Genomic DNA, 16,109 nt, shown 5'->3' with positions numbered 1-16,109 from the left:
ATTGATATAAAACCAACAATTTGGATCTTTCTGTTTGTAACAAATATAGCACTAATCACTGAAGGCCATACTAGTGAGCTATTAAATTCCAGATTGCTGCTCTTACAAATAGATTATTAGAATTCATGGTCCCTCTCTGAACTGAGAAAACTAGACAGAACTTACAATTACATCTTACAGATAAAAAATGCATTTTTGTAAAAAAAGAAAAAAAGAATTCTCCATTACAACAGGACACATGTCACTGCCAGAAACGGCTACGGGAGAAAGGGGAGGAAGGTGTCGAGCTCTCCTGCTGCAGGCAGCTGTGCAAGGGGAGCGGCAGGCGTCTTACCTAGAACTAGTGTGAAGCTGTCCTCCCCGCGCAGCTCAATGTGTTAAACAATAAAGCTGTGAAGGAAGCTGGCATTGCAGGATGTACGTCAGGCACTGAAGATGGTGTTACAAATAAGGGGTATGTTTCTCACCTGTCATCTTCAGGGGAACTCCGTATCAAAGAGCTTTGGAAAGGGTAAGTCCCTTAAGGAAAAAAACAAACAAAACATGGAATGTGCTGCCCTTAGGGCATCTGTAAAAAAAGATGGAAATGATCCATCTATGTGGGTAGACTGAAAAGAGGAATGTTTCCGAACAGAAAGACTTACAGAATATTCTCTTGGGGCTATTAACTAGAGTCCTAAATGGGAAAAAATGGTAGTTCTTCAGAAGTGTGGACATCATTGTTTCCTTCTGATGTTCACAGATTAGTTTTTAGAATTTACAAAGGGATCAGCACACACTTGCATGCATTCTAGGTGTGTGGTAAACAGAGGCTATTAAAGAACACATTGGACTATATGAGCTGGCTGAGGAGCAAGAAAAAAGCACAGACCCCAGAAAAATGAGCAGAAGTTTTCTTGCTGTGGTCTAGGGGAAGGTACCATGCGTTCTCTGCATATTCCAAATGGAAATTTAAATCCTATCAAAATTTTAATGAAATCTGTCAACATCTATGTGGGGGTCGAGGAGGGACTCCCACAGTCTTAGTTACTGAATTACTCCACGCAGTGGCTACAATTAAATACATTTTCCCCAAAAGCAATGCAGAATAAATCAGGGCGAGGTGAAGAGTCATGCAGGTATTGCACTTATGAGAGGATGCATGTGTCAGTGTGCCAGAGACTCTGGAAGAACCACTCCTTTGGGCAGGAGGGTTCCCACTGCAGTGGGGCCAGAGTGAGTGGGGCCTTCCATCGTGCCCTGCGTCGGTACGTGTTTAGGCATGGGGTCCAGCTGCCCCTAGTATTTCTCAAACACTGAGTGTGTGTCGTGAATGGTGTAACTTGCTTGTTTGGATCAGATCCTCCTCTCTTCTTCTACCTTCTCTGCTTCTCTGCCTCCCTCTGAACTTCTTCCCTCCTCCTCCTCCCCATTGCGTACTTGCCAAGTATCCTGTTGTATGACAATAAATCCATGTGGGTGAATAACGATCTCTCACAAATTCAACAGGACAACTGAATCTTACCACATTCCTTTCAAATTACATGAAATCTAACTAGACACAGGAGCAGAGTGGAGGGACAGTGACTGTTTCCCCTCCCCCACCCCATCAGCCACACCCAAGGAACTAAGCTGTCCCACTATACCCCCTGCTCAGGCACCAAGAACCTCGCCCAGCTGCGCAGGGGCTCACCTGCTCAGAGTAGTCATTCCCGTCGACATCATCACTGTTTGAGTGGCCTCCTGGACTCTGCACATCTATCCCATGACTCTCCAGGATTGCTGCTTCTTCGAAAAAAGCAAATAGATCCCTAAATTATCTGTTACCTTATCACAATGGCTGAAACACTGAATGAATTTTTGTGCTAAGGAAATTAATTAGAATGTAATTAAACAAGAACCTGTATTTCTCTACATTTGTTTCTTTTAGACTGTAAGATGGATGAAATTCAACTGCATGTAGGTCAGGGGAGGCACACATTTGCCATTCTGGGGTCTCTGCTGCTGTGCATGTTAGGTGCTTCATAAATACTTGCTAACTAACTAAACAGTCTTCCTATCTTGGGGTTCTATAGAGCATATGAGAACTGTACTGATGAATAAAAAGTGTATTTACAAAGGAAGGAAATGAAATGCATTCTATGCCCATACCACGCTCAATGCGCCCGATCTCGTCTGATCTTGGAAGCTAAGCAGGGTCAGGCCTGGTTAGTACTTGGATGGAAGAAATGAAATGCAATTTTAGAAGCTAAAAACCAACATCCCACCTGACTCACCAACTTAAATTTCTTATTCTTATTTATTACTGTTACAGTTTTGAATGGGAACAAATCCTTTATTTCTTCCTTTTTCAGTTGTATTCGTAGTTCCCTCTAGGGCACTTTTGGCATTTTTGTTTTCTCTGTTCAGCTTTATTGAAATATAATTAATAAAAATTGTATATATTTATGGTGTACAAGGTGATGTTTTGATATGTGTATATATACATAAATGATTACATCAAGAATCCATATTTCTTAAATGCTCTTTATCTCTGCCTTTTGCTGCGTTCCTTGTCTATTAAGTCTCTTTCATTCCAAACCATTAATCAATTGTTTCCTAATATTTAAGTCATAGTCCAGTAATAATGAAGAAATTCTGGGTATTACATTCCCTTTCTCAAGATCTTACAAGTATCTTTCAAATGTACCACAGGAGTAATCAATTGCTCAGGGGCCATGTCTAATTCTATATTCTAGAACTTTAAGAAGAATGAGTTTTATAAATAATAATGTCATTACCATTACACTACAAATAGTGTAAATAATACTAACTGTGGTTTATTAAAAACACAATGAAAGACATTAGGGCAACTTTTGTTAGGCTTAGAAGTTAGGATCCGGCACGGTGGCTCACACCTGTAATCCCAGCATTTTGGGAGGCCGAGGCGGACGGATCACCTGAGGTCGGGAGTTCGAGACCAGCCTGACCAACATAGAGACACCCCATCTCTACTAAAAATACAAAATTAGCCAGGTGTGGTGGCACATGCCTATAATCCCAGCTACTCGGGAGGCTGAGGCAGGAGAACCACTTGAACCCAGGAGGCAGAGGTTGCAGTCAGCCAACATCGCGCCACTGCACTCCAGCCTGGGCAACAAGAGTGAAACTCCGTCTCAAAAAAAAAAAAAAAAAAAAGAGAAGTTAGGATCCTTTAGACTTGCAGTTTCTAAACTGAAGTTAATCTTAATATAAACATGACGTTCACAACTGCTGCACAAGAGAAAAGCAGCCTCACTGATACATTACCAATATTGGCTCTCCTCTTGATCTCCTTCCTTCTGTTAGCAAACCAATTATATACTTTCAGGGAGGTAACTCTTTCCAGATCTGACAGCTTTTTGCCTGTGAATACATGCAATAAAATTCAGATAATCTATATCTGGGATCCAAGAATAAACTAGTTTTAAGGGCTAATATTTTTATTTTGTTGCTTTTGATTACGTTTATTGCCAAAACTACAGATGCAGAGGGATTTTTAAAGTATTACCTGGTACCATGTACACACCCCAATTACTGAATGAATAAATATGTAAATGAATACAAAAACAACAACTAGTAACACAACATGCTTCAATTCGGAAAGCCATACATAATATTAGAGAATTCCACAAAGTCAGTTGGCTAGGGTGTCAGATCCACGTCCATGTGACAGTACTATGGGGGCTTCATTTAATTACCATTATTGTATCAGAATAAGATATTCTTTTTTTATTTTTTTGAGAAAGGGTCTCATTCTCTTACCCAGGCTGGAATGCGGTGGTGCAATTATAGCTCACTGCAGCCTTGACCTCCTGGGCTCAAGTGCTCCTCCCACCTCAGCCCCCCAGGTAGCTGGGACTACAGGCCCAGGCCACCATACCAGGCTAACTTTTGTGGTTTTTGTAGAGATGGGGTCTCGCCATTGTTGCCCAGGGTAGCCTCCAACTCCTGGGCTCAGGCGATCTGCCCACCTTGGCCTCCCAAAATATTGGGATTACAAGCGTGAGCCACCACAACAACCCAAGATAAGTTATTCTTTATCAAGTATCCAGACAACAGAAATTTACTTACATCTTTAAGGCCTTATGTTAACTAATTACCTGCTGTCTTAGGACAGAGGATATTATACATGTTTTCTTGAAGGCTGAAGGCCGCTATGACTATCCATTACTGTAACTGGTTTGGACTACATAGCACAATTCAAGTTGCATTTTAGATTTACCATCTTTGAAGTCCAATGTGATTTTTTATGGATAGTAACCATGCTTGCCAATACAGACCCCCCTGTAACATTTCCTCCTCACCTTTCCTTTTGTTTTTCGGCTATTAATCCACAGTGGGTGAAGAAACCAGAAAGCAGGTTTGTTAGGGCCTTGATGATACGGGGGCAAAATGTTCCAGGGAGAGTTCAAGTTTCTGCACAGCTTTAGGGCTGGGACTTTTGGCATGTTTGAAACAGGGTACAGATTCCTTTCACTTGTGTGTCACTGGAGCAGTTTGTAGGGTCTACATTGCTAGAAGTCTGGCTTCTGGGTGAGGGAGAATGAAGGTCTGCTTAATTTCTATAAAACATTGATACTTTTGTATGTAGCCTTTAGGCCAATCAAAATAACTGGCCACATGGAAATCAACTGGATCTGTTAACTGAAAATGGTTTATGTTTAACAAAATCTGTAAAATGTGAAATAATATTTTAGCACAAGGAAGAAAATACATTTGAAATATTTAAGTGGGTTTGTTGACTTTGGAACAACAGGACTTCAAAATGGTACTGCCCTAAATTTTTCTTAGCTAAGTAGAAGTCATCTCAATGTGGAAAGGAGATAGAAACTAACTACAAAAAGAATTCTTTCCCCAAAGAGAAATATAGCATTTTACAATTTATAACAATTGTTTTAAAAAATTCTATCTTAATCTTATATTGACAAAGCTTGCTTAAATATTTAAAACTTTAACATTATTTCATAATATCTTTTAGCTAAATTCTTAGAAAAGGAAATCTACACATTAAAAAAATAGTAATTTCAAGGTCTCATATCTCATGTAGGGTCACTCCTTGAAAACTCTCCTATGTGAGCATTTGATTTTGAGTACCATAAAAACATCCCTCAGAAGTACTGTGTGAGCAGGACAGGGCACTGGCCACCTGCGGAAGGATGGCACAGACTGAGCCGGGAGCACCATGCCAAGGCACGCATAAGATTAAGTGTCCTAGATGCCAACCTGTAACCAAGCGCTGTGCTGCACCGCAGAGCAAGGCTGTGCCTGCGACCTTACCTGGCTTCTGTATAACTGCATTGCAAGCGTTTGCAATTTCTTCCCTCTTTGCTTCATCTGGGTATTGATTCTCATTGAAGTAACTGCAGAGGCAACCGATACAGACACAAAGTTTTTATTTTTCAAACATACTCTCATTAAAACACTAACTCACTGAAAAATATATTCTGTAAGATGCCACACTCAAGTGTCTAGGTCCAGGCTGTCAAATGGAATGTTCTGTGAGAGTAGAATCTTTTATGCTGTCCAGTATGGTAGCCACAACTCACAAATGGCTACTGAGCACTTGAAAGGAGGCTAATGTCAGGGATGGAATTTGAATTTTATTTAATTTTAACTAATTTAAATTTGAATACCTCCATGTGACTAGTGGCTATTATATGGGACAAAACAGGTCTACATACTGCTGTGCTTCATTAAAAGATGTCATTGATATGGAAGTTATTTTTGATATGTGTGACTGATTCAAGTCACAGAGTTATATTATTTAGGCACTGGTAACAATAGGACTTTTTTTTATTGTCTAATTGTTTGTAGTAGAAAAAATTGGAAATTACCCAAGTATCCATCAGTAGAATGGCAGAACAAATTATGGGATATCTATACTTATATGTAGCTATTTAAAACTAGTAGGAAAAAATAAGTTAGAGTTCTGTCCACTGACCCAGAGGGATGTTTATGACATATTTCTAAGTGAGGAAAACTATCCGCAGAATAATATTGAAAACACCATTATTTTCAATATTGGTATTATACCAATAATAATATGAAAATACCATTACAGAATTTAAAAATTCCTATGTGTACGTAAGTTTGCATAGATGAAAGCTGGAAGACTACACAGTAAGCTTAAATACCAGTTACTGATTTGTGGGGAGGGGGCTTAGTGGGAGGAGTTTAAACATTTTCTTTTTCATTTGTTAAAAAAGTATGTATTACTTTTGCACTTTTTAAAGTACGATAGTACTTTAAAAAATAAATTTACTGAACCCATCCTTAGAATTCTCAGACCCATCAGACTGCATGTGGGAACAGAATGCTTATTAGTGCTACTTTTTCAGTCACCCATGAGTTTAAAAAAAGAAAAGGAGAACTTTCATGGTTTCAACTTGGAAACTTCCAATCAGGAAATGGGCCCCTGTCAAATTCTAGCACCTACCATTTATTCAGGGGTTTCCCTTTCCCTGTAATCCAGCCTTTCTTATGCCTTCAGCACTCCTGTCTGCATTGGTGGAAATGCCATCCTATTGTGAATAGCACTGGAGGCCCCAGCCCTTCCTGAGGATCACCTGCAAACCCAGCTCCTAACACTACTCCCTCCTCTCACTGCCCACTCCTCCTTGGAGGGCATGGCTTCACTGCCAGTTATTTATTTATTTAACCTCATCTGATGCAGTCCTGACTCACAGCAGCTGCCCCCACCTAACCACCTTTTTCTTCTGTAAAACTTAAGTCATAGAGCTATATCCTCCCAGTCTTGTCAACTACCACCCTCCACCATGGTCTTCTGCTTTATTTGAGCATCTCTTCCTGCATGATTTTCTCCTATCATTTCTGGGACTCCAGTGTTCATACGGAGGATTTTTCCAAGTCACTACCCTCATAATTGCTTCACTTTCACATTTCTAATGGCTTTTGTCTCTGCCCTATGCCTATTTACTTAGGCTGAGATGCTTTGGATTAACTCTGAGAACTAACAGCATGGCTGTCACCTAGGAGCCAGTTAGAATGGCAGAATCTCAGACCCCACCTCAGACTTACTAAATCAGAATCTGAATTTTAACAAGATTTCCAGGTGACCTAAATGCACAGGTCGTAACTTCTGAGATGTACTGGATGAGTTCATTTACACAAAATATACAAAAACGAAAAGCAGATACTAAGTACCTAATATGTGCTTGTCACTGTGGGTAAAGAAAGATGATATAGTTTCTGACTCTGAAGTGTTCACAGTCTACTACAGAGAGACATGTAAGTCAATATCCTGTGGTGAAATGCCATAGGATGTATGGACAGAGCACTGAGGCAGCATGGATGAAGGCGTGTTCAGTGTTGTTGGCAGGAGCCTGGAAAGGCGTCACTGAGGAGTGCCATCTGAGTTAGGTCTAGAGAATGCACAGGAGGTTGCAAGGCAGAGAAGAGGAGGAAGAGCGTTTTATATAAAAGGGAACAGCATGTGCAAAGGCAAAATGGTAGATAAAAGCTTTTGAGGACTCTGGGCATAGAGAAGAGTTAAATGTGGCTAGAACATGGGGCTTGTACAAAGCAATGATGAGATACTGGCCTGGAAAGGTGGGATGGGGCCAGCTTGTGAAGACCCTTGTCTGTTCCTTAAGAAGACTTCATACTGAAATAAACGGGGTGCCTTAGAGGTTTCCAAGATACACAGAGATATACTCCCATCTGTTTTCTAGAAAGACAACACTTTATCTTCAAGGCTTAACCCTTGGAATTCTACCTCCATGATCTTAAATTCTGAAATTCCCCAGTCAACTTTGTATTTACCTATGCCTCCTCTTCAAAATAGTTTGTTCTTCACTTTCTTTATTATCTCTAACTGCTTAATCCCCCCACCCATCAGTTACAAAAACAAAAACAATCTCTGTTTATCTTTCCTCTTTGGGCTTCACCTCTCATTTCTTAGCCTGAACTCCATGGCATGCGAAATCAGCAACTTCCCTTAGGAGAAACTAGATTGTTTAGCTTTTCTGTCCTTCCACCATACCTGTCCAGCCAATCTCCTACCCTGCAGAAAGCAACTTCCATTTATTTTCTTCCATCCTTCTCTCAGGGGACCAAGTGTTCCTGGACAAAGTCATAAAATAGGGCCAATTGGTTTTTTTAATAAATCCACATTTTTCAACCTTAACTGGAACCCTCATTTCTGTTGGGAATTCTATTGGTCTTTTCTAACCAATTGCCTTTCATATCCCATCTCCTGCCCCACTTACCTGAAAACTTTACACTCTCTTACCCCAAGCCCTCAAACTGACCACTGTCACTTTTTGCAGATGACCTTGCTTTCTCTCTTATGAAGATGGAGATTATTTAATATGAGTTAATTGCTTGGCTTCTCAACTTGTACACTGTTCTGAGCATTACTCATTCATCTTATGGCAGAGGAAGATGCATGCATTCTCCTCCTCTTCAAGGTCAACTTCTCCGCTTTTGTCTTTGACCTCATTCCCCTTCCTTTCATTTTCTCAACTCTCCTTTCTTTCCTGCATATCTCATCTTTTCCCTGTGCCCATACAGTGATCTTAGTTCACTGTTTTTATAATACATATTTCTTCATTATTGTGATCTCCGAAGTCAGGATGCATTTTATAATTGGTGGTGTTTTGTCTCCCTTACTGGTACGTCAACTAAGGTGTGTCTTACAATCAAGGCCTTCTTAGATTTGATGGGATACAGTAGTTGCTAAGACCTACGGGTTCCTTTTAAGCCATAGCTCTTTGGCCAGTGCACCTCATTGTGACAACTTTTCTTCCAAGTGACTGCAAAGCCTGTGATGACACTGTACCCCCTCCAATGCCTGATTAATATTCCTAAAGCACATCTCTAGTCACTATCCTGTTCAGAAATTCTCAAAGGTTTATTATAGAGGTGTTCAAAGTCCCCCCGCAAACAACCTCTACATCTTTATCTGCTACTCCCATATATGCATGCTACCACCCAGGAAAATGGAATAACTCTGTAAACTCCTTGCATCTCTGTGCCTTTCTCTTGCAAGTATATCAGCTTTTTGCCTCCCCCACCCCGCAGTGCAAATCTTATCCATCTTTCAGGGTACAGCTCAAATATCACCTCTTGGCCAATCAAAGGTATTTTTTTTGCCCTATGAATCCCACCGCACTTCATCTGTTCCTCTCTTACATATCTTTCATCTTGTATTATAGTTATCACTGTATACATCTGTCTTCTACTACACTGAAAACCACCTGATGCCAGGGTACAAGTCTGAATCATCCTCACACGCGCTCCCCACTAATGATAGTGTTGACGAGCCAATAATGATAGACAAAGGCACCACCAACCCAGTGTGGGGGCCTCCAAAAGAAATGGATCTCACAGTAAATGAACTGCTAACAAGAGAAGGCAAAGAGGTATTGCAAAACGGATCTTGAAGGATACGTACTAAGGGGTTAGCAATGACTATCTCCAAGAAGCAAGAGTGTTGGGGATGGGGGCAAAAACAGGAAAATACTGGTGGCAATTAAGAATGATTTTCACTTTTTCTTGGAGAAATAAGAAAAAATTTTAAAAAAAATGACATTCTGCCTTATATGCTTCTCTGTTGAATTTCTGAAATAAACACATGCTATTTTTATAAATTACTTTTTAAGAAGAGAACTTGGGGGAGACAGTACAATATTTAAGAACTCGTTTAATGATCAATACAATTCTGTAACTATTTATGTTTGGAAAGTGTATTTGGACCAGCTAGAAAATATTAGGATTGTGATTTCTGTTCTTGTAACAAATAGATAAAGCCATGCTATCTCTGGAAGCTAAACTAGAATTCGCGATTATTCATGGTATACATAATTTTTGTACTGAGTTAAAAAGGTTTAAAATTAATTAAATTTAATTAAAGATTAAAATTAATCTGTATTTTTAGGATCTAACCATATAAAATAAAGAAGACCAGAGTAAAAAAGGAAATCAGTAACTTTCTCCAAATCAAAGGCTAAAGAAAATAAGAATTGATTCAATATGGTTTTAAATCTCTAAGCCTGGTAACTAATTAATCCTTTCTTCTCTATTAAAGACCTGTTATTTTTGTAATTAAAAAATGTAGGCCTATTAAAAAATATGAATTGTCATTGAAACATGCTACTCTAGCTGGAGGTGTATACAAAGGACTGTTAGCACAACTTTCTTCTTTCTCTATTTCTGTAATGTTTCAATGTTTAAAAAATATTAATTCAAGATATACAGTATAATCTAAACTGATAAAATGACATTTATAGTACCTCATGGTAAATATTTAAGTTTAAAAAGTAATAAGATTTTTTTACTGCAAAACTCTTAAAACTTTTTTGTGAGAAAAGACACACAATATTGATATAAGTAGAAGAGTTTTTTGAAGATAAAGGTAGACCAGGAAATAAAATAGCAAACAACTATGTATTACATGACTATGCATAAGGCATTGTACTTGAGGGGTATGAGTAATTTCAAAATATGGGCCTTGATTATGGTTCGAGAAGAAGATATAAAAAAGCTAAATAATAAAAGGAGCCAAAACATAACTGACAAAATGCATCTATCTTCTAATTAAGTATAAAACAACATGTTAAATTCAGAAAAGAGTGATATCTCTGTGGACTGGGCTGATCTGGGAAAGCTCATTGAATTAGGCAGGCTTCTGAGGGGTGCACAGGCTGCAGGCATTGGAGAGGCAAAGGCAACATTAACAGTAAAGACGAAAATATGAAGGCATAAAAACTTAAGACATACTTGAAAAACAGAAGGCAACTAGTGATGTGATCTGATTACACTATAGGGCTTACATAAGGGTGGTCATACACCCTGGTTTGCCTGAGATAGTGCTGTTATCTTGGATTATTAACAAATCCCATCTTAATCCCCCAGAGTGTCCTGCTTTGGACAATAAATTATGTGGCCACCCTAGGACCACACTACATTATGTACATATCTGAATTTAATGTAAACTAAAATCCTCTGAGTCTTTTTCACATGTGCTCTGACAAGGAGGACATAGTAGTTGCTCAGAAAAAAGGAAGCATCAAGAGGAAGATGGCTATGGTTTCTATCTACTCACAAAAGGAGGTATTTAAGCCCAAAAAAATATGCTTGGCATATAATAGACAGTAAGTATCTAATCAACAGATGGTTGAATAAATGAATACATTAGGGAATAAATGAATGGGAAAAGGAAACAAAGGTGATAACAGAAAACAGTGGTTTCAGTTAAGACTTTTGGTAAAACCCAGACTATCTCAGGAGAAAGTGAGGATTTCACCATTTTGTACAATTATCTTCTCTAAGTACATTTGGTGGTTTGGCCTAAGATATTTTTATTTGTGTTTATTTTTGATATTTGTGTTTATTTCTGAGCTATATATAACCAAAATGAGCTGCCAACGAAGTCGGGAAATAGATCTAATAACTTTGATTTTGAATATACTGAATTAATCATTCATTTTAATCACCTAATAATGTTGAGTCCTAGTTTATACCGGGCAATTGGCTAAATGGTGGCAAAGGTGAACCAGACAAAGCTTCCCCAAGTAGTCACCAGGAGATACAGGTATGTAAAGAAGATATTATGAAGTACTGTAAAAGAAATTATATTAGTTTTATGAATACAGTACTGCAGTAGCAGAGAGGAGTGTATACTTGGGCAGGGTCTTGAAGAAAGAGCAAGGGTTTTCAGGGCAGAGAGGGCGGGTACAGGGAAATGCTGTCAGGCAGAGGAAACAACACCATGTCCAAAGGCAGTGAAAGAGTCATGAAAGAGCTTACAATGTTCCAAAAATGGGAAGGAGTTTAGTGTGGCTAGAATACACAGTGTATGACAGGGGGTTGTGAAAGGTTGGGTCCAGATTTTAAAGGGTATGGAGTTAACTTTCTAGGCAACTGGGAGCTGTAATTTAAAGCAGAGGTATTCTAAGATCAAACTTATTTTTGTAGGGCAATATCTCTGCTGATATTAGAGGCAGAAGCCAGTTAGGCAGCTGTGATGATGGCTGTGGAGAAGGCCTCAAATAGGCTGAGGCCTGGACATAGAAAGGAAAGGTGAGATTCAAGAGATGCTTTGGAATGGTGATAAAATGCATTCAAGACAGCCCTAGGAACAGTACACACTGTTATTAACCTTCCAGCATTTTAGATTATTTTGAAGGACTAGAAATTTCTGTTACCAAGTGGATAAACTGTAGGAGAACTTGGCTATTGGACTCTAAAGGGGACCTGTTTCTGAAATGAAACTCTGGAGCTCAAAACATACTTCTAGTCCATATAAAATGTATATAGCCCTAAACATTTTCTAAGACAAAACAGAAAAGAAGCATAAACAAAAGTCCACAGGTAGCAATAAAAAAATGATAAAATAAATCCAGAGGGCACTACACTTTTACAAAGGACACTGTCGGCTGAGTGATCAGTGAATGTCTTCACAGGGAGAAACCAAATGATCTTTTGCCAGACAATGACAACAAAGAATTAAAATGAAAAGTGGCAAAATAATTTATAAGAGATGAGAAACCATAAGCTAGTAACAAATGGAAATGTCCTTGAACCACTTTCATTTCAATAACACTGAAGTCTATAAAAATTGCAGCCAAATAATTCCTCCTTTTGTGTCTGCGTGAACATATAGAAAAGACAGAGACTGACTCTCCAAGCAAGGGATAATGCCATGTAAATGAACATGTTCTTCTGTGCCTTCATGTGAACTATCTCTGCTAAAGAGATATTCAAACCTCATCATTTCAGTTATCCAAAATAAGGTTTTAGGATTGCCAGACATTTCCCACTAACTACAATTCAGTGTGTATTTCTTCATCACCAAGTAAACTTACTGGGCAGTGGGCAGGAAAGGCCTGCTTTTAGAAGAAAGATTACTCTTTCAGAAGAAGGAAAAAAACCAGCTTTAAACATACTTAGAACCTAAGTCCCATCTCCTATTTGAGAGTATCTATGTGGTAAATGATCTCTGGAAATAAACAAAACAATTTACATATCCAACCACCAGGGACTGGGTACTAAATAAGAGGATATTCTTAAAATGGATTTAGTCAATGAAAATCATGTTTTCAAAGATCATATAAGTGAGAAAGTATAAAACTACATATCTGGCATAACCATCTTTTGTTTAAAAAGATATGTAGATGTATACATAATACACAGAAAAATGACTAAAATGAAATATGCCAAATGTTAACAATTACTATCTTTGGATGGTAGTATTAAGAGGTATTTTAATTTTCTTTATATTTTCCTGTGTATCCCTCAATTTTATATATTAAGCACGTGCTAATTTTATAATTTGGAAAAGCATTATTTGAAAATAAAGTTTGCTGTCTTAAAGTATCGGCAAAATGGAATTAGATTAAAATTATTCTTAAATAATAAACTTTAGCCTATCTTAATGCTAACTTTTAGCAACAAACCAATTTGCATTTTAAAAGTTTGTTTTGCAAACACACTGAGGTATAACAAACAAAAGATGTTCTTTACTAATGTATTTTTTACAGATGAGCTTATTTTTAACTCCACAGACTTAATAAAATAAATAATGGCTCTGTCCATATCAACCTTTCAGAAGGTGTGAGCACAAGCTAAAATATACATGAGTTTCTGTAAGTTTTCATGACTTTGCAGCATCTTAAGGTTTTAAAATAGAATAGCCCGTGAAAAGAGAAGAGTACTAAACGGAAAAATTAGTACTGGCCTAGGAAGTGATTCACATGAGAAAGTGAATTCTTGAAGCCTAATTTACAAATGCCTATGGAATCGCATAACACAGCTCATTACACCTGGATTTCGATGTAACAGAGTAGATCTGACAAAGAATCAAAGACCTTTAAGCTGAAAGCTTCTTTATTTTGCAGGGGAGGACATGAACTTTGCAAATGAGGAGCCAGAAAGAACTGACTTGCTCAAGGTCACATGACTTATAACTCAGGTTTCCTGACTTATTAGTTCACTGGCTCAGGAACAGCCACTACTCAGCTAAGACATGGTATTGTTTCGGACTTCATCTCACATATGTAATGAAAATCTCTGTGTCAATGAATCACCTAGACCAAGTTCCTGTTAATTTCACAAGAGTTCCTGGAAGCAAAGATGTGACGGTATCAGAAAGAAACTCATGATAGCCCAAGGACCACAGTTACATCTCATCTAGCCTTGCCTTTTCCTCTTTGGGAAAGGAAATCTAATTGCTCTGGAGACACAACCATAACACTGACCTTCCTTTTTTCCTGAGTAGAGGAGAATTAAATAAACCCTGGGACTTCTCACTTGAAACAGAACATCAACACCCATTAAAAGTCTGTCTACTGCACAGTTAACCTATCTTAGAAGAGTTAGTGCCTCTTCAGGCACTAGCAGAAAACAAAGCTTCCAAATCATTATCAGGATGGTAGGATGCTTTTCTTTACTTGTTTAAAAAAGAAAAAAAATCCATACATGAGAATAAGAATTATGGACACCATGTATGAAATGTGCCCTAACATAAAGTTTTTCTTTCCCCAGGCCCTTCACTGCAAAGACTCTATGTTTAAATGTTTCATTTACTTGCAGCATGCTAATTGCCACTAGACCCCACTTGCCAATTGATAAACAGGTGTCAAGCATAACACTGGATTTAGAAGGTGAGTTTTTAGTACACTTTATCCTATTACTGAGCTTTTGAAACAATACAGGCTATCACTTGTCCTAAAACATGCAGCCCTAAATGAAGTGCTTACCATATTAGAGGTTTGGTGTGAGTCTTATTACTATGTAACAATTGGTTTTCCTTTTAATGTGTATTATCTTTTAATCATGTCTATGAAGAACATGAAAAGAATGGAGATAATTTTCTAGAGGTGTCACACAAAAACAGTAAAACTGACAAATTCGAACCAACTTAAAGAAAAACTGAGAAACAGTATTTCTCCTGAAACATGTCTTTTGACTACCGCTGAATTTAGCAAGTATTTGCTTAGCTCTCCATTTTATTTAAATAATGAAGAAAAAGAACATGCACAAGAGGGCAGTGTTTGGTTTTGCTAGTCTGTGGATTTCCTAGTTTCCTAATGAAACGACCAAATGTGAGTGACAACTAAGGTCATACCAGCGGAAACCGTGGTACCTAAGTCCCATCTACTATTTGAGTAAACTGCACTTAACCAGTTCACAAACTCCTAGGGCAATGGCAGTAGTATACTCCTTCCTGCATTTGCTCCACTTTAGCTAGATGGCAGCTGCATCTTGCTTTCTCAGTTTTGTCAGCCTTCACTGGTAGGAGGTAGGTTTACCAAAGAGGTTTGTAAGGTGACCTAGAATTAAGTTTCTTATTCCTGGTGTACAAGGTGTCCCAAGGCAGGGAGACTATTCTTTTTTTTAAAAGTGCTGAATTATAAACTGGTCACTTACAAACCTGACACGACTGACCAATAATTATTATAACATGGAGATCAACAGAACAGGATTGATAAGGATCAATCCATTGTTTTTTTGCATGGTTTTTCTTATGATCAATACTATGCTTCTGCAAAATGACTACCTCTGACTAAAAGGCTATTGTCTGTATCTAAAATGAGAACTGGTCCTCCCAGGGATCAATCCAAATTCTTTCTCTCAACAAGCAGCAAACCAAGCATGGAGAATAGCATAGATTCTTTTAAGAATCAGAGGTGCACTGGTCTGGGATTATCTTGATATATCTCTGAAGGCGGAGGGAGAAACACAATACTTTGTACACATGGGTACTTATTACTTTTTCTTAAACCTAGACTTCTACTTCTTTTTTCTTAGGTTTGCTGCTGTTTTAGGTGGGAGTCAATCAAACTACCAGGATATAGATAAATGAGTCCTCAATTGCCTTTATTTATTTATTTATTTTATTTTGAGATGGAGTCTCACTCTGCTGCCCCGGCTGGAGTACAATGGCGCAATCTCAGCTCATGGCAACTTCCGCCTCCCGGGTTCAAGTGATTCTCCTGCCTCAGCCTCCCAAGTAGCTGGGATTACAGGCATGCACCACCATGCCTGGCTATTTTTCTGTATTTTTAGTAGAGACAGGGTTTCACCATGTTGGCCAGGCTGGTCTTGAACTCCTGACCTCCGGTCATCTACCTGCCTTGGCCTCCCAA

At 38.5% G+C, this 16,109-nt stretch overlaps 1 protein-coding gene, 1 long non-coding RNA gene and 1 pseudogene across 35 annotated transcripts in view; 2 read left to right on the top strand and 1 right to left on the bottom strand.

Moving 5' to 3' along the window:
• Positions 1-16,109, bottom strand: part of HMBOX1 (homeobox containing 1) — a 163,155-nt gene that overhangs the window by 2,550 nt on the left and 144,496 nt on the right. For 6 of the 33 annotated variants that reach the window (XM_047422223.1, XM_047422224.1, NM_001135726.3 and 3 more), the window contains 3 exons: positions 5,278-5,360; positions 3,268-3,363; positions 1,673-1,767 (listed from right to left, as the gene is read on the bottom strand). In XM_047422223.1, the coding sequence (XP_047278179.1) occupies positions 1,673-1,767; positions 3,268-3,363; positions 5,278-5,360 (274 nt within the window). Of the gene's footprint in view, positions 1-334; positions 520-1,326; positions 1,432-1,672; positions 1,768-3,267; positions 3,364-4,427; positions 4,530-5,276; positions 7,625-8,002; positions 8,083-16,109 lie in introns of those variants that run through there. The other 27 variants (XM_017013823.3, XM_047422219.1, NM_001324383.2 and 24 more) reach the window with 13 other exon arrangements.
• Positions 2,117-2,227, top strand: RNA5SP260 (RNA, 5S ribosomal pseudogene 260; annotated as a pseudogene).
• Positions 7,621-16,109, top strand: part of LOC105379346 (uncharacterized) — a 28,066-nt gene continuing 19,577 nt past the window's right edge. Inside the window, exons 1-2 of one of the 2 annotated variants that reach the window (XR_007060871.1) lie at positions 7,621-14,392; positions 14,506-14,624. This is a non-coding gene — a long non-coding RNA (uncharacterized LOC105379346). Of the gene's footprint in view, positions 14,625-16,109 lie in introns of both variants that reach the window. The other variant, XR_001745858.2, reaches the window with a different exon arrangement.

The sequence above is a fragment of the Homo sapiens genome, chromosome 8 (assembly GCF_000001405.40).
Source record: "Homo sapiens chromosome 8, GRCh38.p14 Primary Assembly".
Lineage (NCBI taxonomy): Eukaryota > Metazoa > Chordata > Mammalia > Primates > Hominidae > Homo > Homo sapiens.
The sequence above is the reverse complement of the archived record's forward strand: the minus strand, read 5'-3'. Positions and strand labels throughout refer to the sequence as shown.